At 42.0% G+C, this 22,243-nt stretch overlaps 1 long non-coding RNA gene and 1 pseudogene across 6 annotated transcripts in view, besides 1 other annotated feature; one reads left to right on the forward strand and one right to left on the reverse strand.

Moving 5' to 3' along the window:
* Window positions 543–22,243, forward strand: part of LOC105375091 (uncharacterized) — a 34,762-nt gene continuing 13,061 nt past the window's right edge. For 5 of the 6 annotated variants that reach the window (XR_001744160.2, XR_926877.2, XR_001744159.2 and 2 more), the window contains exon 1: window positions 12,215–12,355. This is a non-coding gene — a long non-coding RNA (uncharacterized LOC105375091). Of the gene's footprint in view, window positions 1,063–11,791; window positions 12,356–22,243 lie in introns of those variants that run through there. The other variant, XR_001744165.2, reaches the window with a different exon arrangement.
* Window positions 1,760–1,929: an enhancer, noted in NCBI's record as "experimental_92154 CRE fragment used in MPRA reporter constructs". NCBI's record gives its function as "activates a minimal promoter by MPRAs in K562 erythroleukemia cells, with activity observed for the non-introgressed 6:52737093 variant allele {active_cell/tissue: K562}" and the evidence as "EXISTENCE:reporter gene assay evidence [ECO:0000049][PMID:34662402]".
* On the reverse strand, window positions 2,564–20,348 carry GSTA10P (glutathione S-transferase alpha 10, pseudogene; annotated as a pseudogene).

Raw genomic sequence — 22,243 nt, forward strand, 5'->3', positions numbered from 1 at the left:
AAACAATGCTGAAGAAGAACCTGCATTCTTCATGACGGTGTTGGAGGAGTTCCCAGAATGTTTTCTTGGCCCAAATTGTTACCCATCAGTGGGCACCCTCAGATTCCAGCAAACCAGTCTCAAGTCTTCATTGGCTAACTGTGACTTTTCTTGGCAGCCTAAGAAGTGAGAGTATGTGGTAATAATACATGTATAGGAGTTAATGGGAAGAGGAAGAATTCAAGAACTAATATTTATTGAAAACTTCCTAATGATCCTTCTTCAGTCTAGTCCCTTTCAATATTTTATATCTTTAACCCTCCTTATAGTCCCATGAAATGGTTTTTTCCTCCATTTTTTAGTTAATGAAATGGAACATCAGAAAAATGCAGGGTTCACAGTCACACCCTGGCTGGTGACAGACATGAATATCTACACCAAGGACTAAAATGAAGTCATGCCTGGAAGCCACCCAGTGAAGGCCCTGGGAACCCATGAACTGGCCATGAAACCAGAGGATGTCACTGACAGGGAGGACCGGCAGGGAGCTAAGTCACTCTTCAAAACAAAAAGCAAAAATCAGGCCTCAGAGTTGTATAACTGTAGTTAGAAGACCAAATTCTTTCAAAGACAGAGAATGCTAATCCCTTGCTTCTTTCGGCATTCTATATTCTAACTCTATGGGGTGCATTTTATTTCATAACCTGGAAAAAAAGATGTTGTTGCATTAACTTTGCAAGATATGGAAGGAGCTAGCATTTGTTCAACGTCAGTTACACAACTGGTTATTTTTCTAAACTTCTCCTCATTTTATCCTACAAAAATCACCTAAGGTGAATGAGGTTGTTATTCTTATTTTTTACAGTTGGGGATACGAGGTTTTTTAAAGTAACTTGCCCAGATTAAGTGGTGGATCTGGGATTCAGACTCACTGCTATTAAAAACTAAAGACTGAGTCTTATTTTCTATGTTAGTGTTTCTCAAATATGCATGGTAAGAGTTCAGCAGATTGTGAAACCTCACTACTTTTTAAAATAAAATAGAAAAGAAGAGAAAATATCAGCAAGCATGACATGTTGAAGGGTAAGTAATGTTTCATGAGTTGTTAGTTTCAGTTATTTGTATATTGTGTGTATGGATGTTTGCATGTGTGCACGCGCACTTGCTCATTGTAAATGGTTAGAGATAAATTGACTGGGCTCATCAGTGAAGTTTGATAGCCCTTGCTCTATCCCAGGCTGTTTGGGAGATGGAACATAGCAGAGTATCAGAGAATGAAAACCAATGGCTGCAGGGACAGATGCAACTAATCGTATCATGAATGTGAATGGAAGGACACAGGACTCATTGAAAGCAGGAGTTCCAGTGCCAGGATTTAGGGACAGTTGCATTTTCTCTCCAAACACTCAGCTCTGTCATTAAACATTAAGATTCTTCTTGGAAAGTTTTGTGGTTGTTGAGTTTGGAACAAAAATGTACTTGTCTTTGCCAACTAATGTATTTCTTAAAAAGTTTGTATGCTTGAATTTAGACGTCAAAATCTTTTAAATGTCTACGTTTTAAAATGTGGGAGTCAAGAGTTTAACCTTTGGAAAGTAAAGAATTTTTAGAAACCATACTGAATCAACTCACCTGTTTTGTAATTAGAAATTTTGACACTGCACTTTTCTGTCTTGGGAAATGGAAATAGCATTATTCAGCAGAAAGAAAGGGAGAGTGAAGTTCACACGAAAGTGTGGGGTGTGGTTGTTTAATTGCTATGGATTAGAGTTCACAGTGTCATAATTCTAATCCCCACACTAAGCTCCCTTAGCCATTGATTGAGGATCATGTTTCAACAGGAAAGAAATGTTTATCTTACATAACGTTTTATCACAACACTACTGCTGGTAACTAACATGTCAGCTTCTCAATATGAGGTTTCCTAAGGTCCAGCTAAGACTGGGACGAAGGTTACCGTTGAGCTTTATTGGGTCAACAGAAAATGAGAACCAGAGAGCTCAAGGATTTGCCATGGGTCGCACATATATGCTCCTCATTCATGATCAATATCTAGGGAGTGTGTCTACCTTCTGCAACAACCGTGGGAAATGGCTTCTAATATCCTAATTATAGATGGGCACACTGAGGTTCAGAGAGCTAAAGTGACTGGCCCACGCTGCACACTTGGTGAGTGTTGGGTCAGCCTGAACTCCTTCTGATTGCAGGTCCAGAGCTGTCCAGAGCTTTTCCCCTCCACCCTGTAACCTGGCTCTCAGCTCCTGTCTGAGAAGTTGTTTTATATTTTCCTATTCAGAGTCCATTAGCCAACTAAATGGTGGAAGGCAAGGGCAAGAGGGGAACATCTAATCCTTGAGTTCTTTCTGTTAGCAACTTTTCAGGGGACTTTCAGAAAGTCTGCCTTTCTCTACTTTGACAAACTAAAAACCAGAGTGAGTTGAGGACTAGTATAACTGTATTTATATCAATTAAAAAAATGGGTTTAACATCACAAAAGCCACAATTAACATTTAGGTAAAGCACTTCATTGTGTAAAACGTTAGAATATTGGTCTTGCAAGTTCTTGGCCTCCATGGCTGCTTTATCAAATCTTCAAAATCTCTCTTGCTTCTTCTAAAAGTTTTGCCTTTTTGGGAGGCTTCCTCTGGCTGCCAGGCTGCAGAAACTTCTTCACCGTGGGCAGTTTGCTGATTCTGGTTTTCAGGACCTGCAATGCACAAAGCACAGCCTCAGAGTGAAGCCAAGGACTGACACCACCATTAATACCACCCAGGGAATCTGAGCCTCTCCTACACAAAGACCAAATGAGGCCCCTCCATCAGCACCAGTATGAAGGCTGGGAAACAGACTCTGAGCGAGAAATAAGAGATAAGAGGAATATGAGAGAAAGAAGAGAAAAAAGATAAGAGAAAGAATATAAGAGGGAGAACAAGAAGCTCACTAGCATTCTCCCAAAGATGTATTTTAGATTTTATTTAGTTCAGTCTCCCTACTCTCTTCTTTATACATCAATCCTGAGGATTCGTGGCTTTTGTGTAAGTCAAGAAAAAATAATGTGCCTGTGAGATATCAACACAGATCAGCCTCTAGGCAGAAATGAAAATATGGGAAAATTGAGTTAGAAATGAAAATAGAAAATGTTAAAGACAAACCATGGGGCCACTCCCACTGAGGTATACAGGGCTGGGGGCAGTGTACTCGGAGAGCTGTGCAGAGAGAAACGCAATCAATGTCTGACAGCAGGAGCCAGAGCCCAGGGAAGGAAACCAGACAGAAAGGGCCCTGCTCAGACAGACTTGGTGTGGGAAGACAAGGGCACATATGGGATAAAGGACATCACAGAGAATTCAGGAACAGAAACCACGTTGAAATAGAAGGATGGGGAGAGATGCTGGGCCCTGGATCCTTTCCATGATAAAAGGCAAATGCTCTTCATGAGGTAGCCACACATTTCACTGACATAACAAGAATCTTTCCCTGATTGTGAGGAATCAGGGCCTGGAAGCTCACTTTGGAGACCTGAGGGCACTGAAGGCCTGGAGAAGGCTGGTGTCAGAACATGGCTAGTCCCAGGACCCAGATCCGAGATCCCAAGATGGGAGATGTGGGGCTGCCTCTCCGGGCTACGAAATGGGTCACCTTCAGCAGAGGGAAGCTGGAGATAAGGCTGGAGTCAAGCTCTTCCACATAGTAGAGAATTTCCACCAGGTGAATGTCAGCCCGGCTCAGCTTGTTGCCAACAAGGTAATCTTGTCCGCGGCTCTTTCACACCTGGATAATTGGGGGAATCGGACCAGGAACACATGTGCAATCAGGCTGGGGCCCCTGCTTCTTCCTGAGTTTCTCCAGCCTGACATTCCCACCTCTGCTGCCTCACTGCATGGGTGCAGAGACCCGGATCTTTCTCCATGTTCCCTGACTCATTGAGAGAGTAAGAAGTGTGGCTCTTCTAATTCCTTGGTTGGAGCCCAGGCTCTCATTTTCTCTTCTCATTCCACCTCACTGCGGTGTCCACACCACCCACTCGGCTTGCATCTTCCACATGGGCCAGGGGCTTAGCACCTGCTACAACATGTTCTGTCTTCCCCAGACCCTACAGCGTGCAGCCCTGATGTTCAGGGCATGATTCTACACTCTGCTATCTCTCTCCAATCTCTCTTGGGAAGTGACTCCACCTTCATGACAGCACTCTTCTCCCAGGAGGAGACTATATCAGAGTCCTCATTTCTCCTTGTATGCACTCCTTATTTCCTGCTCTAGGATCTGAAGTAAACCTGGGTGAACTTGAATTCATCCCCTTTCTTGCAACGTTGGCGCTTACTGATTTCACTGTGTTATAATCTGCATGCCACAGTATCCAGGGTGAGCTGCACTGATGTCTGCAATTTACTTTGAAATGCAAAAAAAAAAAAAAAAAAAAAAAATGTGTTTGACTGAGGGAGACAGGAGTGGAGTGACTGACACGTGTGGTAAAGCCCAGATGAGGAGATGTTAATTTTGCTGTCTAGGTGGTTGGTGTATATATGTTCATAAAATATTTCTTTCAACTATTGTGAATGTATAAAATGTTTCATAACAAAATTTTTAGTGATATGTGGTATTTATTAAAATATTATAGCACATTCACACCATAAATAATAAAATGAGAAAACACACAGCATCACTGATTTAAGGTAATATTTTGGCAAATACCCTTTCAGACTGTGTATACATATGTAAGTGTAAATAATTACTTGGTACATAAAGAAAATGCAACATTGAATGCTATATTGTAGCATACATAGTTCAAATTCATGTATCATGGGACTCTTTGGTAGAACTGGTGAAATTCTTCCTCACAGTCTATTTTTATACCATGCCTTGAGAGTCAAGAGCTCAATTAACATCAAGGAAGCCTTTTTGGACCTGAAGGTCAATGCCCCAAAAATGCACAGGCACTATTTTTCTGTTGCCTTATGTTATGGATTGAATGTTTAAGTTTCCCCAAAATTCATATGTTGGGATCCTGACCCCCATGTGATGCTGTTAGTAGGTGAGGCTTCCAGGAGACGATCAAGTCATGGGGGTGGATATCTCATGAATGACATTAGTCCCCTTATAAAAGGAACCTTAGAGAACTCCCTTGGCATGTTTGCCATGTGAGGACACAGCCAGAGATTGGCTGTCTATGAATCAAGGAACAGGAGCTCCCCAGATATGAAATCTGCTGGCACATTGATCTTGTACTTCCCAGCCTACAGAGCTGTGAGATAGAAACATCTGTTCTTTAAGCTACCCAGTCTATGGTATTTTTGTTATAGCAGCCAAACTACAAAGAAACCCTCTAAACTCTTAGTGTCCTTATAGACTAAACAGCTTCTATCATGACCTTTACAACAGTGAAATATGCCAGCATTTGGTCAATAACTGCCAGCTTTCCTAATTTTTGCCTCCACTTTCAGTTTATGACCAAACACAGAAAGTAAAATATTGATCTCTGAACAATCACATAGAAATTCACACTTCCAGCTAGCCAGCTTACAGCATCTTCATGCCAACAACATGCAATCAGGGCATAACTTTTTCCACCATAAATCTCTCAGACTTTCCCGCCTGCCTCTGAATCTCTGGCAAACGCAAGTGATGGTGCCTGACTTCCTTACTATAGCAAGCTCGAAATAAACACCTTTTGCTTATTCTCATTTGGGTTGTCTTCATTCACTTTCACAGTTTTTCCAGAGGTTGCAACAAGACATGGTCTATGTTGCCCATTGCCGTGGACCCCAGCCGTCAGCCAGGTGCAGTATCCACAAAGGTTCCTTGTGCCTTGTGGCAAGTCCGCACCTGGGCTGAACTCTTTTCTCTTTGCTTTGAGCTCTTTCACTTTTTATTCTCAGTTTGGACCTCGGTTTTGTATTGGTTCCCATCTGCTTAGCATCCTTAATAGAACCAGGCCTTTTTTGCCTGTTTGTTTCTTTTCAGTCTTTTGTGGTACTGCTTTGTGCCATGCTATCGAGAAGTGTTTGTCATTAAAAAAAAAAAAAAAAAAAAAGAGGCAGCATATAGGCATAGGCCCAAAAGCCTGTTTTTCAAGACAGCCTCACAGTACACTGAGTTTGAGGTTATCATGGGATCTCTGTCCATGTTTACAAACTTTGCTGTGGGTCATCCCTGAAACTAAATGAAATCCTTCACTCTTGGTTTTTGTTCTTGTTGTTCTTTAAACTTGGCAGTGATCCAGGCAGATTACAGCTTCCACCTGGGGCACAGCAGTGACTGTGACTTTAGGTTTTCTTTATCCCATTAGGTGGTAATCCATATAGTTGGGTGAAAAAAATCTCTTTCGTAGTTTGGAGGCTCAAATCATGTAGCCACTGAAAAGATAAAGACATGCCTAGGGCAAGATATGGGGAAGGGGCATGGCGCTTCCATGCCTTCCCTGGACGTGCCACCCTCCAAGAAGCTCCATGCATGTGTTCAGGTATACAGAAGCTCCCAGGTACAGTTTCAAAGACAGGAAAATAATGGCTTCTTGTTCCCCCTTTGATCAGGGCAAGCTTTGCATCTTTTTCCTTAGGTGGAGGTAGTGCATAATGAAGAATCTTTTCACTCAAAATTTCCTACCTTCTACATATATCCTTCTACATTCATCCTGAAAGACAAAAAGAACCAAACTGTCAAAATGCCTTCTGCCTTAGATTTTATGGTTTAAACACCTGAGACAGTAGAGCCTCAGATGGTGACAAAGTAATTCAGCTCCAGTGGGTGCCTTTTATATGCCAGTCATGCTCTTAGTTATACATACATATTACATTTATTTCTCAGAACATGCTACAGGGGTAGATATATGTCCAAAATGTTTGTCCTACACGTGACCAAATACAGGTACAGAGAATATCAACATCTGTGACCTGTCTAGAGTCACAGTCATGAGAGGAATTAGTGGAATCACTGCAAGTAACCACTGATGCTAAAAATAGGGTTTGCTATCTCAGCTGTGGTTTGCTTTGTGGATGAGCTTAGCATGATTCATATAGCCAAAGACCTACCATTTAAGTAATCCCAAGGCAGAGTCCCTGGAACAGCCATCTCGAACATTTCTGTCTCCTTTTCTCACCATACTACATATCTCAGGCTCATTTTTATGCTCAATGTTCGAAGTTCTAAAAAAATTAAAAATAACAATAAATAAATAGGAAATAAAGCATATCTCTAAAAGCTATCTCTAAAGATATATACTTTCAAGCAAGCTAGTAATTTTCAACAACAACAAAAAAAGAAGATCTCCCAATTATTTTCTAATCACCTGGGAAAGCAGTAGCACTTTGGCAGCCACTCCCCTTAGCCCCCTCCATCCAGCCCCTTGCAACAACTGATTTACTTTCTAGATTCGAATGGTCTGGATAGTTCATACAAAAGAAATCATGTAACATGTGGCCTTTGGTGTCTGGTTTCTTTTATGGAACATGTTTTCAAGGTTCACCCATGTTGTAGCATGCATCAGTACTTTGACCCTTTTCATAGTCCAAGAATATTCCATTGTCTGCCACAGCACGTCTTGTTCCTCCATTCATCCATGGGTGGACATTTGGGTAGTTTCCACCTTTTGCATATCATGAATAGTTCTCCTATGAACATTTCTGTGCATGGATTAGTGAGGCTGTGTTTTCCTTTATCCTGGTTGTAGACCTGGTAGTGGAATTGTTAGGTCATTGGTAACTCTATATTGGACTTTTCAAGGAACTGCCAACAGGGGAGGAGACCCCTCCTCCCAGCTTTGCTGGTGCAAAATCAGTGTGGCTGCTTAGGTCTGTATCAAATGCTTCACTTTAGGTAATCCTGGTATCTTGGGCACCAGCCTCTGCTAACCTGAGTCAAGTTGACCAGTTCATATAATTAGTTGCTAACGTAGGTTCCTGGTCATCATTCTTGGAGTTATTGGAACCTGAGATTCAGCTTCTTTAGAGCCTTCTCTCCCCAGGCCTTCATCTACCGACTCTCAAACATTCTATGACTTGTCCTAAGCTGTTGTTGGCGCCCAGTCTCTGAAGGCCTGAGCACCTGGAATCATGATTTGCCATCCTCCTGAGTTCATGGTTCATCAGTGTTTGGAAACCTCTGTCAGGGTGCTCGATCCATGGACTGCATCCTTTTCTAGAATCACCCTCACCTGAACCCACCCCATGTTCACTGTTTCCTCATCTCCATGGGACTCTGCAATACTGCAACTCAGCATACACACCCAAGGTCCAGCCTGATGCTGACGATAATGCCCCTGCCACGGTCCCGCCCACTCAAGGAAGGACCTAAATCACTCTGTATTCTCTGTTAATGGAAGAACAGAAAATATACCATACAGGACTCTCTCCTTTATGTCTTTCTCATAGAGACTGTATTTGCTGGCAATGTAGTTGAGAACGGCTCTGGTCTGCACCAGCTTCATCCCATCAATCTCAACTATTGGCACTTGCTGGAACATCAAACTCCCATCTTTAGAAAGAAGGAAAAAAAGGAGAGTCAGATGTCTATGAATCCCAGTCTTTCAGCATGAAAAAATGTTTGCTGAAATGACTAAATTTATAAAATAGAAAAGAAATTATTGCCTGGTATAACCTCTCAAAGGAAATAGAAATTTGTTTTTAGCTTCCTTAGTCCTTCTTTTTCCTATCAAGCTTCCTCTTACCTTGTAGCCTCTTATTTCATTTATGTTTTTGTTCCTCATCCAGATACATAATAGGTCCCTTGTATTTTTTGTGTTGATATATCTTCATGGATATTTTAGGAAGAAGTTGGGAGAGGCTGCTGCAGGCCCACTAGCCACATGCCAATTAACATGGGAATATCTCAAAGTAAATCTCATGGTGTGAAGACATTAAAGACAGTTCTGAGAAAAGTTTCTATGTAGGTCCTTTGTATAGTCTTCAATACCCCCACTGGACAGTGTGTGCAGGGTGGGTGCTGTGTTCCTCACTCTACTGCTGCTACCCTGGCTCATGTCCCTCCTCACCCTCTGACCTGGACTTCCAACCAATTCAACACTATCTCATTATCTAAGCCTACAGTTGCAAGAATATCACCTTGTCAAATTCATAAGAGAAATGAATTCAAGATGGACCTATTTCAACTCCTTCCCTCTGATGAATGTCCGCGCGTGTCCTTGGATGGGGAGGGCTGTATGGGATCCCGAACCAACCACAGCTTATTCACAGTGTTGAAAGAATGAAAGCAAGGAAAGGCCATTCTCAGGGTGCTGGGGATGGCTCCTCTAGCAAATACTCTAAGAGGTCTGGCCCTTTTAGCCTGGAGAGAGTTGACAGAACTGCTCAAGGAGCCCCACCCTTTCTACTTTAACCACTTTTTTCCCTCTCCACCACCCCAACTACCACCCTTCGCACACATAGACACGGCCTGGTATTAAAACCTGCAAGTGTACCTTCTACTAGATACCTTCCTCAGAGACACGTAGAGACTCGATCTTACCATTTCTTAACTTTTCCAAATCTTCTGCAGATTCTAGAAATTTCTCTTCAAACCGAAAGCAGAATCAGTGAATGGGCTCCTGATAGGTCATTCCATAGCATTATAGACTTTTAACCTTGAATGGCTACTGTCTGATACATAATTTGGAGAATATAAGATTTCTGAGTTTGGCAGTGCACACAGAGGGGTCTGGTCATGGCCACTTGGAAATTTAGACTAGATTCATCAAGAGAAAAGCATGGATCACAGCACATAGCACTCAATCTTTTAGTTCACTTCATCCACACCCTGATCTCTCCCATGTCCATGATTAGGTCATGATTTGGGAGGGGATGTCACTGGCGTTAAGGTATCAAGCAGTTCTTCTAGTTATGTTGTTGTCGTATCATAGGAAAGCATGTGTCTCCAGGTGAGATCAGACCGCAGGCTTTGTGTCCCTAGTGTGGGGTATGCAATGGGCTAATGACCAAAAAAGATTCTTCCACCGAGGAACCTCTGCTGTAATTTATATCACCCCACTTGTTAGGAGCCCTACTGTGCATGAGATAGGTCCTGCTATTGCACAGCTTTAACTCTTGCAACGATAATTTCCCCTCCTGGAGTAAATGGAACATGACAGAGTAGAATTCTCAATTTGAGGAAGGAATTAGGGTCCCCAGACTAATGTTATTTTTAATAAAAATCTGTGGTTTATGATATGGCTGTGTGGGTTTAATATCACTATTTTCAAGTCCTGGCTTCTTGATTTTGGACACATTGTTGAATCTCTCTGTGTCTCAGTATCCTAACCTGTGAAATGGATATACTTATGAAGCTTTTTTTAAAGATTGGTATGAAAGGCCGGGCGCAGTGGCTCACGCCTGTAATCCCAGCACTTTGGTAGGCCGAGGCAGGCGGATCCTCTAAGGTCGGGAGTTCAAGACCAGCCTGTCCAACATGGAGAAACCCCATCTCTACTAAAAATACAAAAATTAGCCAGGTGTGGTGGCGCATGCCTGTAATCCCAGCTACTCAGGAAGCTGAGACAGGAGAATGGCTTGAACCTGGGAGGTGGAGGTTGCGGTGAGCCAAGATTGCACCACTACACTCCAGCCTGGGAGACAGGGTGAGACTCTGCCTCAACAAAAAAAAAAAAAAAAAAAAAAAAAAAAAAAGATTGGTATGAAAATTAAATTTCAAAGTCATGCAAAGCACTTGGAAAAGTAGCAGGTATATAATAAATGCTCGTTAAATATATGTTTTGGGACTCTGAGAGATGGCTGCTATTTCATAGCATCCTTTTCAAAAAATTTAAATCAATCTAAAATCACTGAATGTATAGTCTCTTGTTGACCTATATCCAGTAATTTAAACTTTGAAATAAATTACACCTTGTCCTGAGAGTAGTTGGAATGGCAGCCAGCAAGGTTGTCTAAATCTGATCAGAAACTCTGAGTAGATGCAGGTATTTAATATAAATATGAAAATCAGTTATTACATAATGATGCAGTTGACTTAATAGGCAGAATCTATAAAAATAAAAGTTAAAGCAGACTCTTACAAAGATTTTCAGGATTTCACTGTTAATATGATCTGGTTCCAATCTTGGCTCTGCCTCATAATAGCTGTGTGATCTGGGAATCATCACTTAACGTCTTTAAGCATTAGTTCCCTCATCTGCAAAATGGGCATAGAACATTTTCTTAACAGAATGTTTTAATGTTTTCAAAATGCATCATACAGGGCCTGACCCACATAAATCAAGTAATAAACAGTAGCGGTGTTTGCAGTGGCTAAGTATACTTTAATAGAGTTCTTTATAGTCAAATGTCAGGAATTTGGGGGTTTCTAGCTTGCTCCATGGAACAGAGTTTGTTGTGGATCTATGATCACACAGGACCAGGATCTAGAGATCATGGTTGGGGGGTGGGGGAGGCGGGGGCAGGAAGGGTGTGCCAGAAATTAATACTGTGTCCGGTTCAGGACAAACCTAAGGAACGGTGTGTGGTCCTGGCAGGAGGGTGACCGAGGTGGTGGGACTGGCAAGTGGGATGTGCTTGTGAGGCTGAGGACTTGGTTGTGATCATCAGCCTTAGGGCACTGAGACCCCAGAAGCCTGAGCAAGGTCTGCAGTCAGCCCTGCCCCCGCCTTCAGTCAGGCTGGATGGAGGCCAGGGAGCCTGGGTTCCTCCCAGCCTTGCCCCTCCCTCCCTCCTGCTGAACTCTTCCTACCCGGGCTCTGAACACATCCCTGAGCTGCAGAGCTGACGTCTGGGTGACAGTGAAACGGGGTATTCATTTGTACCAAAACAAACAAACAAACAAACAAAACCTGGAATGACGGTGTGTGGATTTCTTGTGTGCTTATTCGTAGGATTGAGAAAGGGTGAGGCTAAGGTCCCGAGCCTTCGTGAAGCAATGGAGAAAGTGCCGTCCCAAGGCTCAGTTCCACACGGCGCTGTGAGGCTGAAGGGGCTCACTGGAAGTTCCCCTCACAGGACGCCACCTCACCTGAAACCCTCTTTTTCTGCTACCATCCAAGGGACAAGATCTCCTGAGTTGTCGAAGACTCACTCCGGAAGAAAACCCTCTCAGGCAGTTACTGAGGGACTGTGGTCTGGACTAGAACGTGTTTTTCTCAGTGACACCTCTAGAGGGCAGCACTCAACGGAGTCCCACAGACACCTCCCTGCATTTCCTCCTCAGACACTGGGTGGATGATATGGTAACACTGGGGAATGCTTGGGTGTTCTCCTGGAAGCTCCTTATTTTAATCACCTGTTTACTTGTCTCCATTCTTATAGATATGTAGGCTACCCGAGGGCAGAGACTGAGTCTGTCTTGTTCACTGTCTACCTCCAGAACCTCACACAGAATCTGGCACTTAGTAGGTGCACAACAAAATAATCATTGAATTAGTATACTGAGTCTTTAACAGGTGAGTACGCAGTTCCACTTTACATTCACTTTCTAATATTATGCCTTTTTATCCTCTTATTGTATAAATTTCTAACATGTATAAAAATAACACAAAAGTATAATGACCTTTCTTGTATTCCTCATATAGAATCAATAATTACCAATATTAGGGAAAAGAGTGAAACGCTGTAAAATATTTGAAGAGATTTATTCTGAGCCAAATGTGAGTGACCAATGGCCTGTGATACAGCCCTCAGGAGATTCTGGGAACGTGTGCTTAAGGTGGTTGGGATATAGTTTAATTTTAGGGAGACATGAGACATCAATCAAATATATAGAGATGTACATTTGTTCAGTCCAGAAAGGCAGGACAACTGGAAGTGTGGACTTCCAGATTTTGTGTAGATTATAAAATTTTCCAATTGGCAGTTGATTGAAAGAGTTATGATCTAAAGACCTGGGTGCAGGGAAAAGAAAGAGAGATCAGACTGTTACTGTGTCTATGTAGAAAGGGAAGACATAAGAGACTCCATTTTGAAAAAGACCTGTACTTTAAACAATTGCTTGCTGAGATGTTGTTAATTTGTAGCTTTGCCCCAGACACTTTGACCCAACCTGGAGCTCACAAAAACATGTGTTGTATGAAATCAAGGTTTAAGGGATCCAGGGCTGTGCAGGATGTGCCTTGTTAACAAAATGTTTACAAGCAGTATAGTTGGTAAAAGTCATCGCCATTCTCTAGTCTCAATAAACCAGAGGCACAATGTACTGTGGAAAGCCGCAGGGACCTCTGCCCTTGAAAGCGGGGTATTGTCCAAGGTTTCTCCCCACGTGATAGTCTGAAATATGGCCTCGTGGGATGAGAAAGACCTGACCGTCCCCCAGCCCGACACCCGTAAAGGGTCTGTGCTGAGGTGGATCAGTAAAAGAGGAAAGCCTCTTGCAGTTGAGATAGAGGAAGGCCACTGTCTCCTGCCTGCCCCTGGGAACTGAATGTCTCCGTATAAAACCCGATTGTACATTTGTTCAATTCTGAGATAGGAGAAAAACCGCCCTATGGTGGGAGGCAAGACATGTTTGCAGTAATGCTGCTTTGTTATTCTTTACTCCACTGAGATGTTTGGGTGGAGAGAAACATAAATCTGGCTTACGTGCACGTCCAGTCATAGTACCTTCCCTTGAACTTAATTATGACATAGATTCTTTTGCTCACATGTTTTTTGCTGACCTTCTCCTTATTATCACCCTGCTCTCCTGCTACATTCCTTTTTTGCTGAAATAATGAAAATAATAATCAATAAAAACTGAGGGAACTCAGAGGCCGGTGCCGGTGCAGGTCCTTGGTGTGCTGAGTGCCGGTCCCCTGGGCCCACTGTCGTTTCTCTATACTTTGTCTCTGTGTCTTATTTCTTTTCTCAGTCTCTCGTCCCACCCGACTAGAAATACCCACAGGTGTGGAGGAGCAGGCCACCCCTTCACCTGGGATCAATAGAAAGGAATATCTGGGTTAGGGTAATAAGGGGGTGTGGAGACCAAAGTTTTATCATGCAGATGAAGCATCCAGGTAGCAGGCTTCAGAGAAAATAAATTGTATTAGGTTGGTACAAAAGTAATTGTGGTTTTTGCCATTGAAAGTAATGTTTCTTATCAGACTTAGAGTCTGTTCTATCAGTAATTCCAAAAGAGAGGAGGGCATGTCCAACTTCCCACTTCCCATCATGGCCTAAATTGGTTTTTCAGGTTAGCTTAGTAATGCCCTTGCTGAGAAGAGGGTCCATTCAGATGGTCGGGGCTGGGTAAGAGGCTTAGAATTTTATATTTGGTTTATACCAGCTAAAGCCAATGTGTTTTCATCTACATGCCCACCCACTTTCTTCTTGTAATAATGTGAGGAAATCCCAGATATCATATATTTTATTCTTAGATACCTCAATGTGTTTCCCTAAAACAGAAGAACGATTTTAAATATAGCCATAGTACATTATCACACATGAAACATTAACAATAATTTTTTCATGACATCAAATATTCAATCAATATGTATGCTTCTAACTGTTATACAAATGCCATAAATTATTTTTTAGAGTTTGTTTAAATCCAAGTTCAGTTAAAGTCCACACATTCTGATTAGTTTGTTTCTTAAATGTACCTTAATGTTTATGCCCTTAGATGAGAAGATATTTTAACAATTTATTAGATCAAATTCATCATCTCTTTCTTAATAACTGCCAATTTTCTTTAAGGTACAACACTTGACAAGTCATTTAGTAAGAAACATCTCATAGTTTCTGAGGGAAAAGTATCTGGTAAGGTCAATTTTAGATCCAACTTAAGATGACCTCTCAGGACCTACCCGTACTCCAGATGCAGCTAGGAGCGACTGGATGGACTCCATTCTGCCCTGTCCATTGTGGTAGTAGAGCTTGGGTTTCCCACCATGATAGCAGACTCCTGGAGTTTTCTCTAAGCATGAATGAAAGAATGAATGAATGAACAAATAATTGAAGCCATAGAATCAAAAATGTTCATTAGGATGTATTGTTGAAAACCACCAACAATACTGAAGAAGAATCTGCCTTCTTCATGACTGGGTTGGAGGAGTTCCTGGAATGTTTTCTTGGCCCAAATTGTTATCCATCGGTGGCCACCCTCAGATTCTAGCAAACCAGTCTCACGTGCCCATTGGTTAAATGTAACCATTCTCGCCATGTTAAGAAGTGAGAGTTTGTGGTAATAATGCACATATGGAAGGTAGTGGGAAGAGGAAGAATTCAAGAACCAATATTTATTAAAAACATCCTGGTGACACTTCCCCAATGCTAGTCCCTTTTAATATGTTATATCTTTAATCCTCCAAAGTCCCATGAAATGACTATTATTATTATTATTTTATTTTTATTTATTTTTTTGAGATGGAGTCTCGCCCTGTCACCCAGGCTGTGGTAGCACAATCTCAGCTCACAGCAAGCTCTGCCTCCTGGGTTCAAGCCATTCTCCTGCCTCACCCTCCCAAGTAGCTGGGACTATAGGCACCCGCCACCACGCCCAGCTAATTTTTTGTATTTTTAGTAGAGATGGGGTTTCACCATGTTAGCCAGGATGGTCTCGATCTCATGACCTACTGATCCGCCCGCCTCGGCCTCCCAAAGTGCTGGGATTACAGGCATGAGCCACTGTGCTCGGCCGAAATGCCTATTATTATCTCCATTTTTTGGTTAATGAAATGGAACATCAGAGAAGTGAAATGCAATGTCCACAATCACACTCTAGGTGGTGATGAACATGAAAATCCACACCCAAGACTAAAATGAAGGCAGGCCTGGAACCCACCTAGGTGAAGGCCCTGGGAATCCAGTAAGTGACCAAGAAACCAGAGTATGTCATGACAGGGAGGACCAGGAAGGAGCAGAGCCACTCTTCAGCTCTTTGGCTATTAGGCTACTGATACGGTTTGGCTCTTTGTCCCCACCTAAATCTCATCTCGAATTGTAATCCCCATAATCCCCACATGTTGAGGGATGGACCTGGTGGGAGATGATTGGATCATGGAGGTGGTTTCCCCCATGCTGTTCTCCTGACAGTGAGTTCTCACGAGATCTGATGGTTTTATAAAGGACAGTTCCCCCTTCTCTCTCTTTCCCTCTGCTGCTGCCTTGTGAAGAAAATGCCTGCTTCCCCTTCACCTTCCACCATGACTATAAGTTTCCTGAAACCTCCCCAGCCATATGGAACTGTGAGTCAGTTAAAATTCTTTCCTTTATAAATTACTCAGGCTCAGGGAAGTTCTTTATAGCAGTGTGAAAATGAACTAATACAACTACGTTTGATCAAAGGGAGAAATAGGGCCTCAGACTTGTTTAACTAGCTACGAGATCCAAATTCTTTAAACAGATAGAGAATCATAATTTCTTGATTCTCTTGGAATTCTATTTTCTACCTCTGTAGGGTGCATTTTGTTTTATAACCTGGAAAAATAGATGCTGCATTAATTTTGCAGGGAACCGAAAGTGCTATCATTTGTTCAATGTCAGTCACACACTGATCATTCCTCCAAATTTATCTTCATTTTATTCTACAAAAATCACCTAAGTGAGTGCTGTTGTTAATCTCATTTTACAGTTGAGAATACTGAGATTTTTTGAGTAACTTGCCCATAGTAAGTGGTGGATCTGGGATTCAAACCCACTGCTATTCAAAACAAAGACTGGCTGGCGCAGTGGCTCACACCTGTAATCCCAACACTTTGGGAGGCCAAGGCGGGTGGATCACCTGAAGTCAGGAGTTCAAGACCAGCCTAGCCACATTGGTGAAACCTCATCTCTACTAAAAATACCAAAAAATTATCCAGGCTTGGTGGTGCATGCCTGTAATCCCAGCTACTAGGGAGGCTGAGGCAGAAGAACTGCTTGAACCCAGGAGGTAGTGGTTGCAGTGAGCCAAGATCGCACTGCTGTAGTCCAGCCTGGGCAACAGAGCGAGACTCTGTCTCAAAAACAAAAACAAAAACAAAAAACAAAGACTGGGCCTTATGTTTTATGTTAATGTTTCTCAAATACGCATGGTAATCTTTCAGCAGACTGTGAAACCCAATACTTTAAAAATAAGATATAAAAGAATAAAAAATACCAGAGAGCATGACATGCTGGAGAATAAGTAATGTTTCATGAGTTTTTAGTTTCAGTTATATGTGTGTTATGTGTATGGATGTTTGCATGGGTACACGCTCATTTGGCCATTGCAAATTGTTAGAGATAAATTGATTGGGGCTCATCAAGGAAATATGATAGCCTTTGCTCTATCCCAGCCTGCTTGGGAGGTGGAACGTAGCAGAGTATCAGAGAATGAAAACCAAGTCTACAAGGACAAACCATAAATAATTGTATCCTGAGTTTGAATGGAAACACACAAGACTCATTGAAAGCAGGCATTCCAGTGCCAGGATCTAGGAACAGTGGCATTTTCTCTCCAAACCCCCAGCTCTGTTATAAAATATTAAGATTCTTCCTGCAAAATTTTGTAGTCGTCGAGGTTGGTATATTGGTACAAAAATATACTTGTCTTTACCAACAGATGTATTTCTAGAAAAGTATGTGACTTGAATTTAGAAATCAAAATCTCTTAAATATCTACATTTTAAAATGTGGAACTCAATAGTCTAACTTTTAGAAAGTAAAGAATTCTTTGAACATACCTAATCAACTCATCTGTCTTGTAATTAGAGACTTTGCGCATTGCACTTTCCTCTCATTGGAAATGGAAATAGCATGATTCAGAAGGAAAGGGAGAGTGAACCTCACAGACAGTGGGTGTGCTTGTTTAATTGTTATCAACTAGAGTTCACAGAGTGATTCAAATCACACATTTGCACCCTTAGCCATTACTGAAGATCATGTTTCAAAGGGAAATGAATTGTTATCTTACATAGCATTTTATCATAATGCTCTCTCTTGTAAGTAACATATCACCTTCACAATATGAGGTTTCCAAAGGCCAGACCAAGACTGGGACAAAGTTTACCACAGAGCTTTGCTGGGTTAAGAGAATTTGAGAACCAGAGAGCTCAAAGATTTGCCATGAGTCACACATACATGCTCGTCATTCATGGTCAATATCTAGGGAGTGTGTCTACCTTCTGCAACAACACTGGGAAATGGCTCCTAATAGCCTAATTAAAGATGGGCACACAGAGGTTCAGAGAGCTAAAGCGACTGGCCCATGCTGCACACTTGGTGAATGTTGGGTCAGCCTGAACTCCTTCTGATTGCAGGTCCAGAGATTTTCCACTCCACCCTATAAGATGCCTCTGCTTCTGTCTGAGAAATCGTTTCATATTTTCCCATTCAGACTCCATTAGCCAGCTAAAGGTTTAAAGATGAGGGCAAGAGGCGAACATCTGAATCTTGAGTTCCTTTCTGTTAGCAGCTTTTCAGGAGCTTGATTAGAAGAAAAAATTAATAAAAGTTTGCCTTTCTCTTATTTGATAACCTAAAAACCTGAGTGAGTTGAGGACTAGTATATTTACCTCAATTAGAAAATGAGCTTGTATTGAAAGGAATATAACCTATGATAATCCCAGTAGTAAATTAAAAGAGTTAGGTCTCTGAGTGGTCCTAATTACACTGTTTCTTATCAGAGAGAAGGGAGACTGAGATAAATCACAACTCCTTCCATTATGAGGTTCATAAACTCAGGCTCTCTAAATTCTGAGCTCAATTTTCTCTTTTCAAAATAGGGATTGTTGGCCAGGTGTGGTGGCTCATGCCTGTAATCCCAGCACTTTGGGAGGCCGAGATGGGCAGATCATTTGAGATCAGGAGTTCGAGACCAGCCCAGCCAACATGGCGAAACCAAGTCTCTACTAAAAATTAAAAAATCAGCCAGATGTGGTGGTGGGCGCCTGTAGTCCCAGCTACTAGGGAGGCTGAGGCAGGTGAATTTCTTGAACCCAGGAGATGGAGGTTACAGTGAGCTGAGATCACACCACTGCACTCCAACCTGGATGACACAGAGAGATTCTGTCTAAAATAAACAAACCAAAAATAGGGATTTCCATACCTACTTTTGAGGGCTGTTGAGAAAGTTAAATGAAATAATTGATCTGGTTAGGCTCTGTGTCCCCACCCAAATCTCATCTCAAATTATAATCTCTATAATCCCCTCATGTTGAGGAAGAGACCTGGTGGAGGTGGTTGGATCATGGGGGCAGTTTCCCCCAAGCTGATCTCACGATAGTGAGTGAGTTCTCATGAGATCTGGTGGTTTTATAAGCGGTAGTTTCTCCTGCTCTCTCCTTTTCCTGCTGCGTTGTGAAGAAGGTACTTCCTTCTCCTTCACTTTCTACCATGATTGTTAAGTTTCCTTAGGCCTCCCCAGCCATGCAGAAAAGTGGTGCAGAATTAAACCACTTTTCTTTATAAATTACCCAGTCTCGGGTATTTTTTTATAGCAGTGTGAAAACAGACTAATAAAATAATGTACATAAAATTCATAATAGGAACTGAGTAATGAGAGTGTCCTCCGACCCCCACTTCTTGGGATGTGGATGAGTCTCTCTGAACACATTGGGTAGTACATGGGTCTCCTGTCTCTCTCTCTCTCTCTCTCTCTCTCTCTTAACCCATCAAGCTCTGGTAAAAATAAGATTTTATATATATCCAGATTTTTTTTTTCAGAGAAGTCATACAGTGGGTCTTTTCTATAAAGCTCCTGTGCAGAGGTTAATGATATTCACTAATCCAGTCAACCTGGGTGATATGGTTTGGCTGTATCTCCATCCAAATTTCATCTTGAATTGTAGCTCTTATAATTCCCACGTGTCACAGGAGGGACCCAGGGAGAGGTAATTGAATCATGAGGGTGGGTCTTTCCATGCTGTTCTTCTGATAGTGAGTAAGCCTCACGAGATCTGTAGGTTTTATAAAGGGGAGTTCCCCTGTACACACTCTCTTGCCTGCCACCATGTAAGAGGTCCCTTTGCTCTTCTGTCATCTTCTGCCATGATTGTGAGGCCTCCCCAGCCACGTGAAACTATGAGTCCATTAAACCTTTTTTACATTATAAGTTACTCAGTCTCAGGTATGTCTTTATTAGCAGCATGAGAACAGACTAATACACTGGATTAACAGGAAGTTTTCAGTGAAGGTTCAGGGAGGCCTGATCCATCGTTAACACAGTCTTGCTTAACTCCTAGACTGCAGCAGATCCCTGGTTCCCAGGTTGTTTTATAACCTCGAAAAAGAGATGATTTCTATCCCAGAAAAAGGCTCCCATACACTGCATCTTGTGGGCCTTTCTCCTGAGACCAGACCCAGCTACCACTCACCCCCTGCTCAGGGCAGTCTGAGCCTTTCCTATTGCCAGGCCCCCTTTGCATGAACTCCAGCCATGCATGTGGGAGCCCCACTGCCTCTCTCCAGCCATTCATAGCTCTTGGGCAGGGTCTCACTCTTAACACTTGATGAAAACAGTCACTTCTCTACACCATCCTGTTACTTACCTGAAAATGCAGACATTTTGCTGATCCTTCCTCAATTCCTTGTTTCTGGAGTGTTCGCCTCTTAAAAACAGTTTCGGTGTCTCAAGCAATGATGATGGCTTGTAGCAAAAAATATTTGGTATGTTTTGGTCCTCGCTCTAAAGGGTTTAAATCTAGTCAGAAAAATAGCCTTGTGGGGCCGGGTGTGGTGGCTCATGCCTCTAATCCCAGCACTTTCAGAGGCCGAGACAGGTGATCACTTGAGCCCAGGAGTTCGAGACCAGCCTGGGCAACATGGTGAAACCTCATCTCTACCAAAAATGCCAAAAAAAAAAAATTACCTGGCATGGTGGCATGTGCCTGTAGTCCCAGCTACTAGGGAGGGTGAAGTGGGAGAATCACTTGAATCCAGGAGGTGGAGATTAAAGTGAGCCTAGATCATGCCACTGTACCGCACCCTGGGTGACAGAGCAAGACTCTGTCACCAAAAAAAAAAAAAAAAGAAAGAAAGAAAGAAAAGAAAAGAAAAAAAAGAGAAAAGAAAAAAGAAAAACAGGCTTGTGGACAACTAACAGAGCAGAATGTGCTCAGCAGTGACTTCACTTTAATGGGTTCTTGGAAATTCCAACCCAAGAATCATAATTCTCTTAGCCAAGCAAATCAGAGCAAGGGGAGAAGGCTGCCAGACTCAGAAAAAGCTGAGGACCCTGTCTCTTCTGCCCAGGTGGGCTCCTTTTTTCCACAGTAGCATCTCAATCTGCAGGTTCAGTGGATTTTGTACTCCCAAATGTGTGCTTTCCTACCCTTCAAAGTAGGATCGCTCATCTGTATTTAAACATTGCTCTCTGTAATCTCTTGCAACTCTCATTTCAGTATCTTCTCACATGGCTGCTATATTTCTTTCCTGTGAATTCTTTTATAGCTTGCATAGCTCTCAGATCTGGATCCAAAAAGAGGATCTCACTGAAACTCCTGGTCTTCCTTTTATAACATCTCCCGCCCCTCAATATTAAACATTTATTCCAGGCCATCGTCGACTCTTATACTCTAATGACATCATACATTCTAGTCAGATGCTTCTTAAAAACTAGTTGTATGCTCGAATGACTGTGTAGTTCTCCTATCAGGACTTTTGACTTTTAACACTTTGAGAAGTCATGTAGTCAAGTGATTCTCAACCAGGAGAGATTTTACTCCCCTAACCCATTCAGCAATGTCTGCAGACATTTTTGGTTTTCACAGCTTAGGGGTACGTAGTGCTACAAGATCAGGTAGGTAGAGGCCAGTGATGCCTTGAAATGCCCTCTCATGAACAAGGCAGCCCCTGCACACAAATAATTCCCCAACCCAAGGGGTGCTAAGGGTGAGACACTTTTTCTTAGCTATTTTCTAGGTTTGTCATGAGTTGGTTGAATCCCAGAGAGAGAATGTGACTTGTCATCCAGCTAATTAGTAGCAAAGACTAAATTAGATTCTAGTTTTCCTGACATTCAGAGACTAATTTATTCTAATAGGAATAGTGCTGCTATACGTTTTAGTGGTCACAGAGATTTCTCCAATTTCTACTTTTGAGCTTGCTTGATGTGAAAATTAAATAATATAGAAAAAAATTACATAGAAAAATTAAATAATAGAATCACAACAATGGGTCAACCAATCCTGATTATCAGACTCAATTTTCTGCAGTTTAAGCAGAATTAATAAAGAAATGAGACTGTTCCACTAAGTGAAAAAGAAGGAGTAAGGAAGGAGGAATTTGGAAAGAGCAGGGTTTTCAGACAAATGTTCAATTGGGCAAAGGACAAGGATTAACAAATAATCATTGAATCAGGAATGTAAAAATTTACAAGAAGGGCATTCTTGTTCTTAATTTTTTTATCATAAATCTAGGTCATCTTGCTTTATAAAACTAAAAGTTCTACAGACTTAGAT

This window comes from Homo sapiens, chromosome 6 (assembly GCF_000001405.40).
Source record: "Homo sapiens chromosome 6, GRCh38.p14 Primary Assembly".
In the NCBI taxonomy this organism is placed as follows: Eukaryota; Metazoa; Chordata; class Mammalia; order Primates; family Hominidae; genus Homo; species Homo sapiens.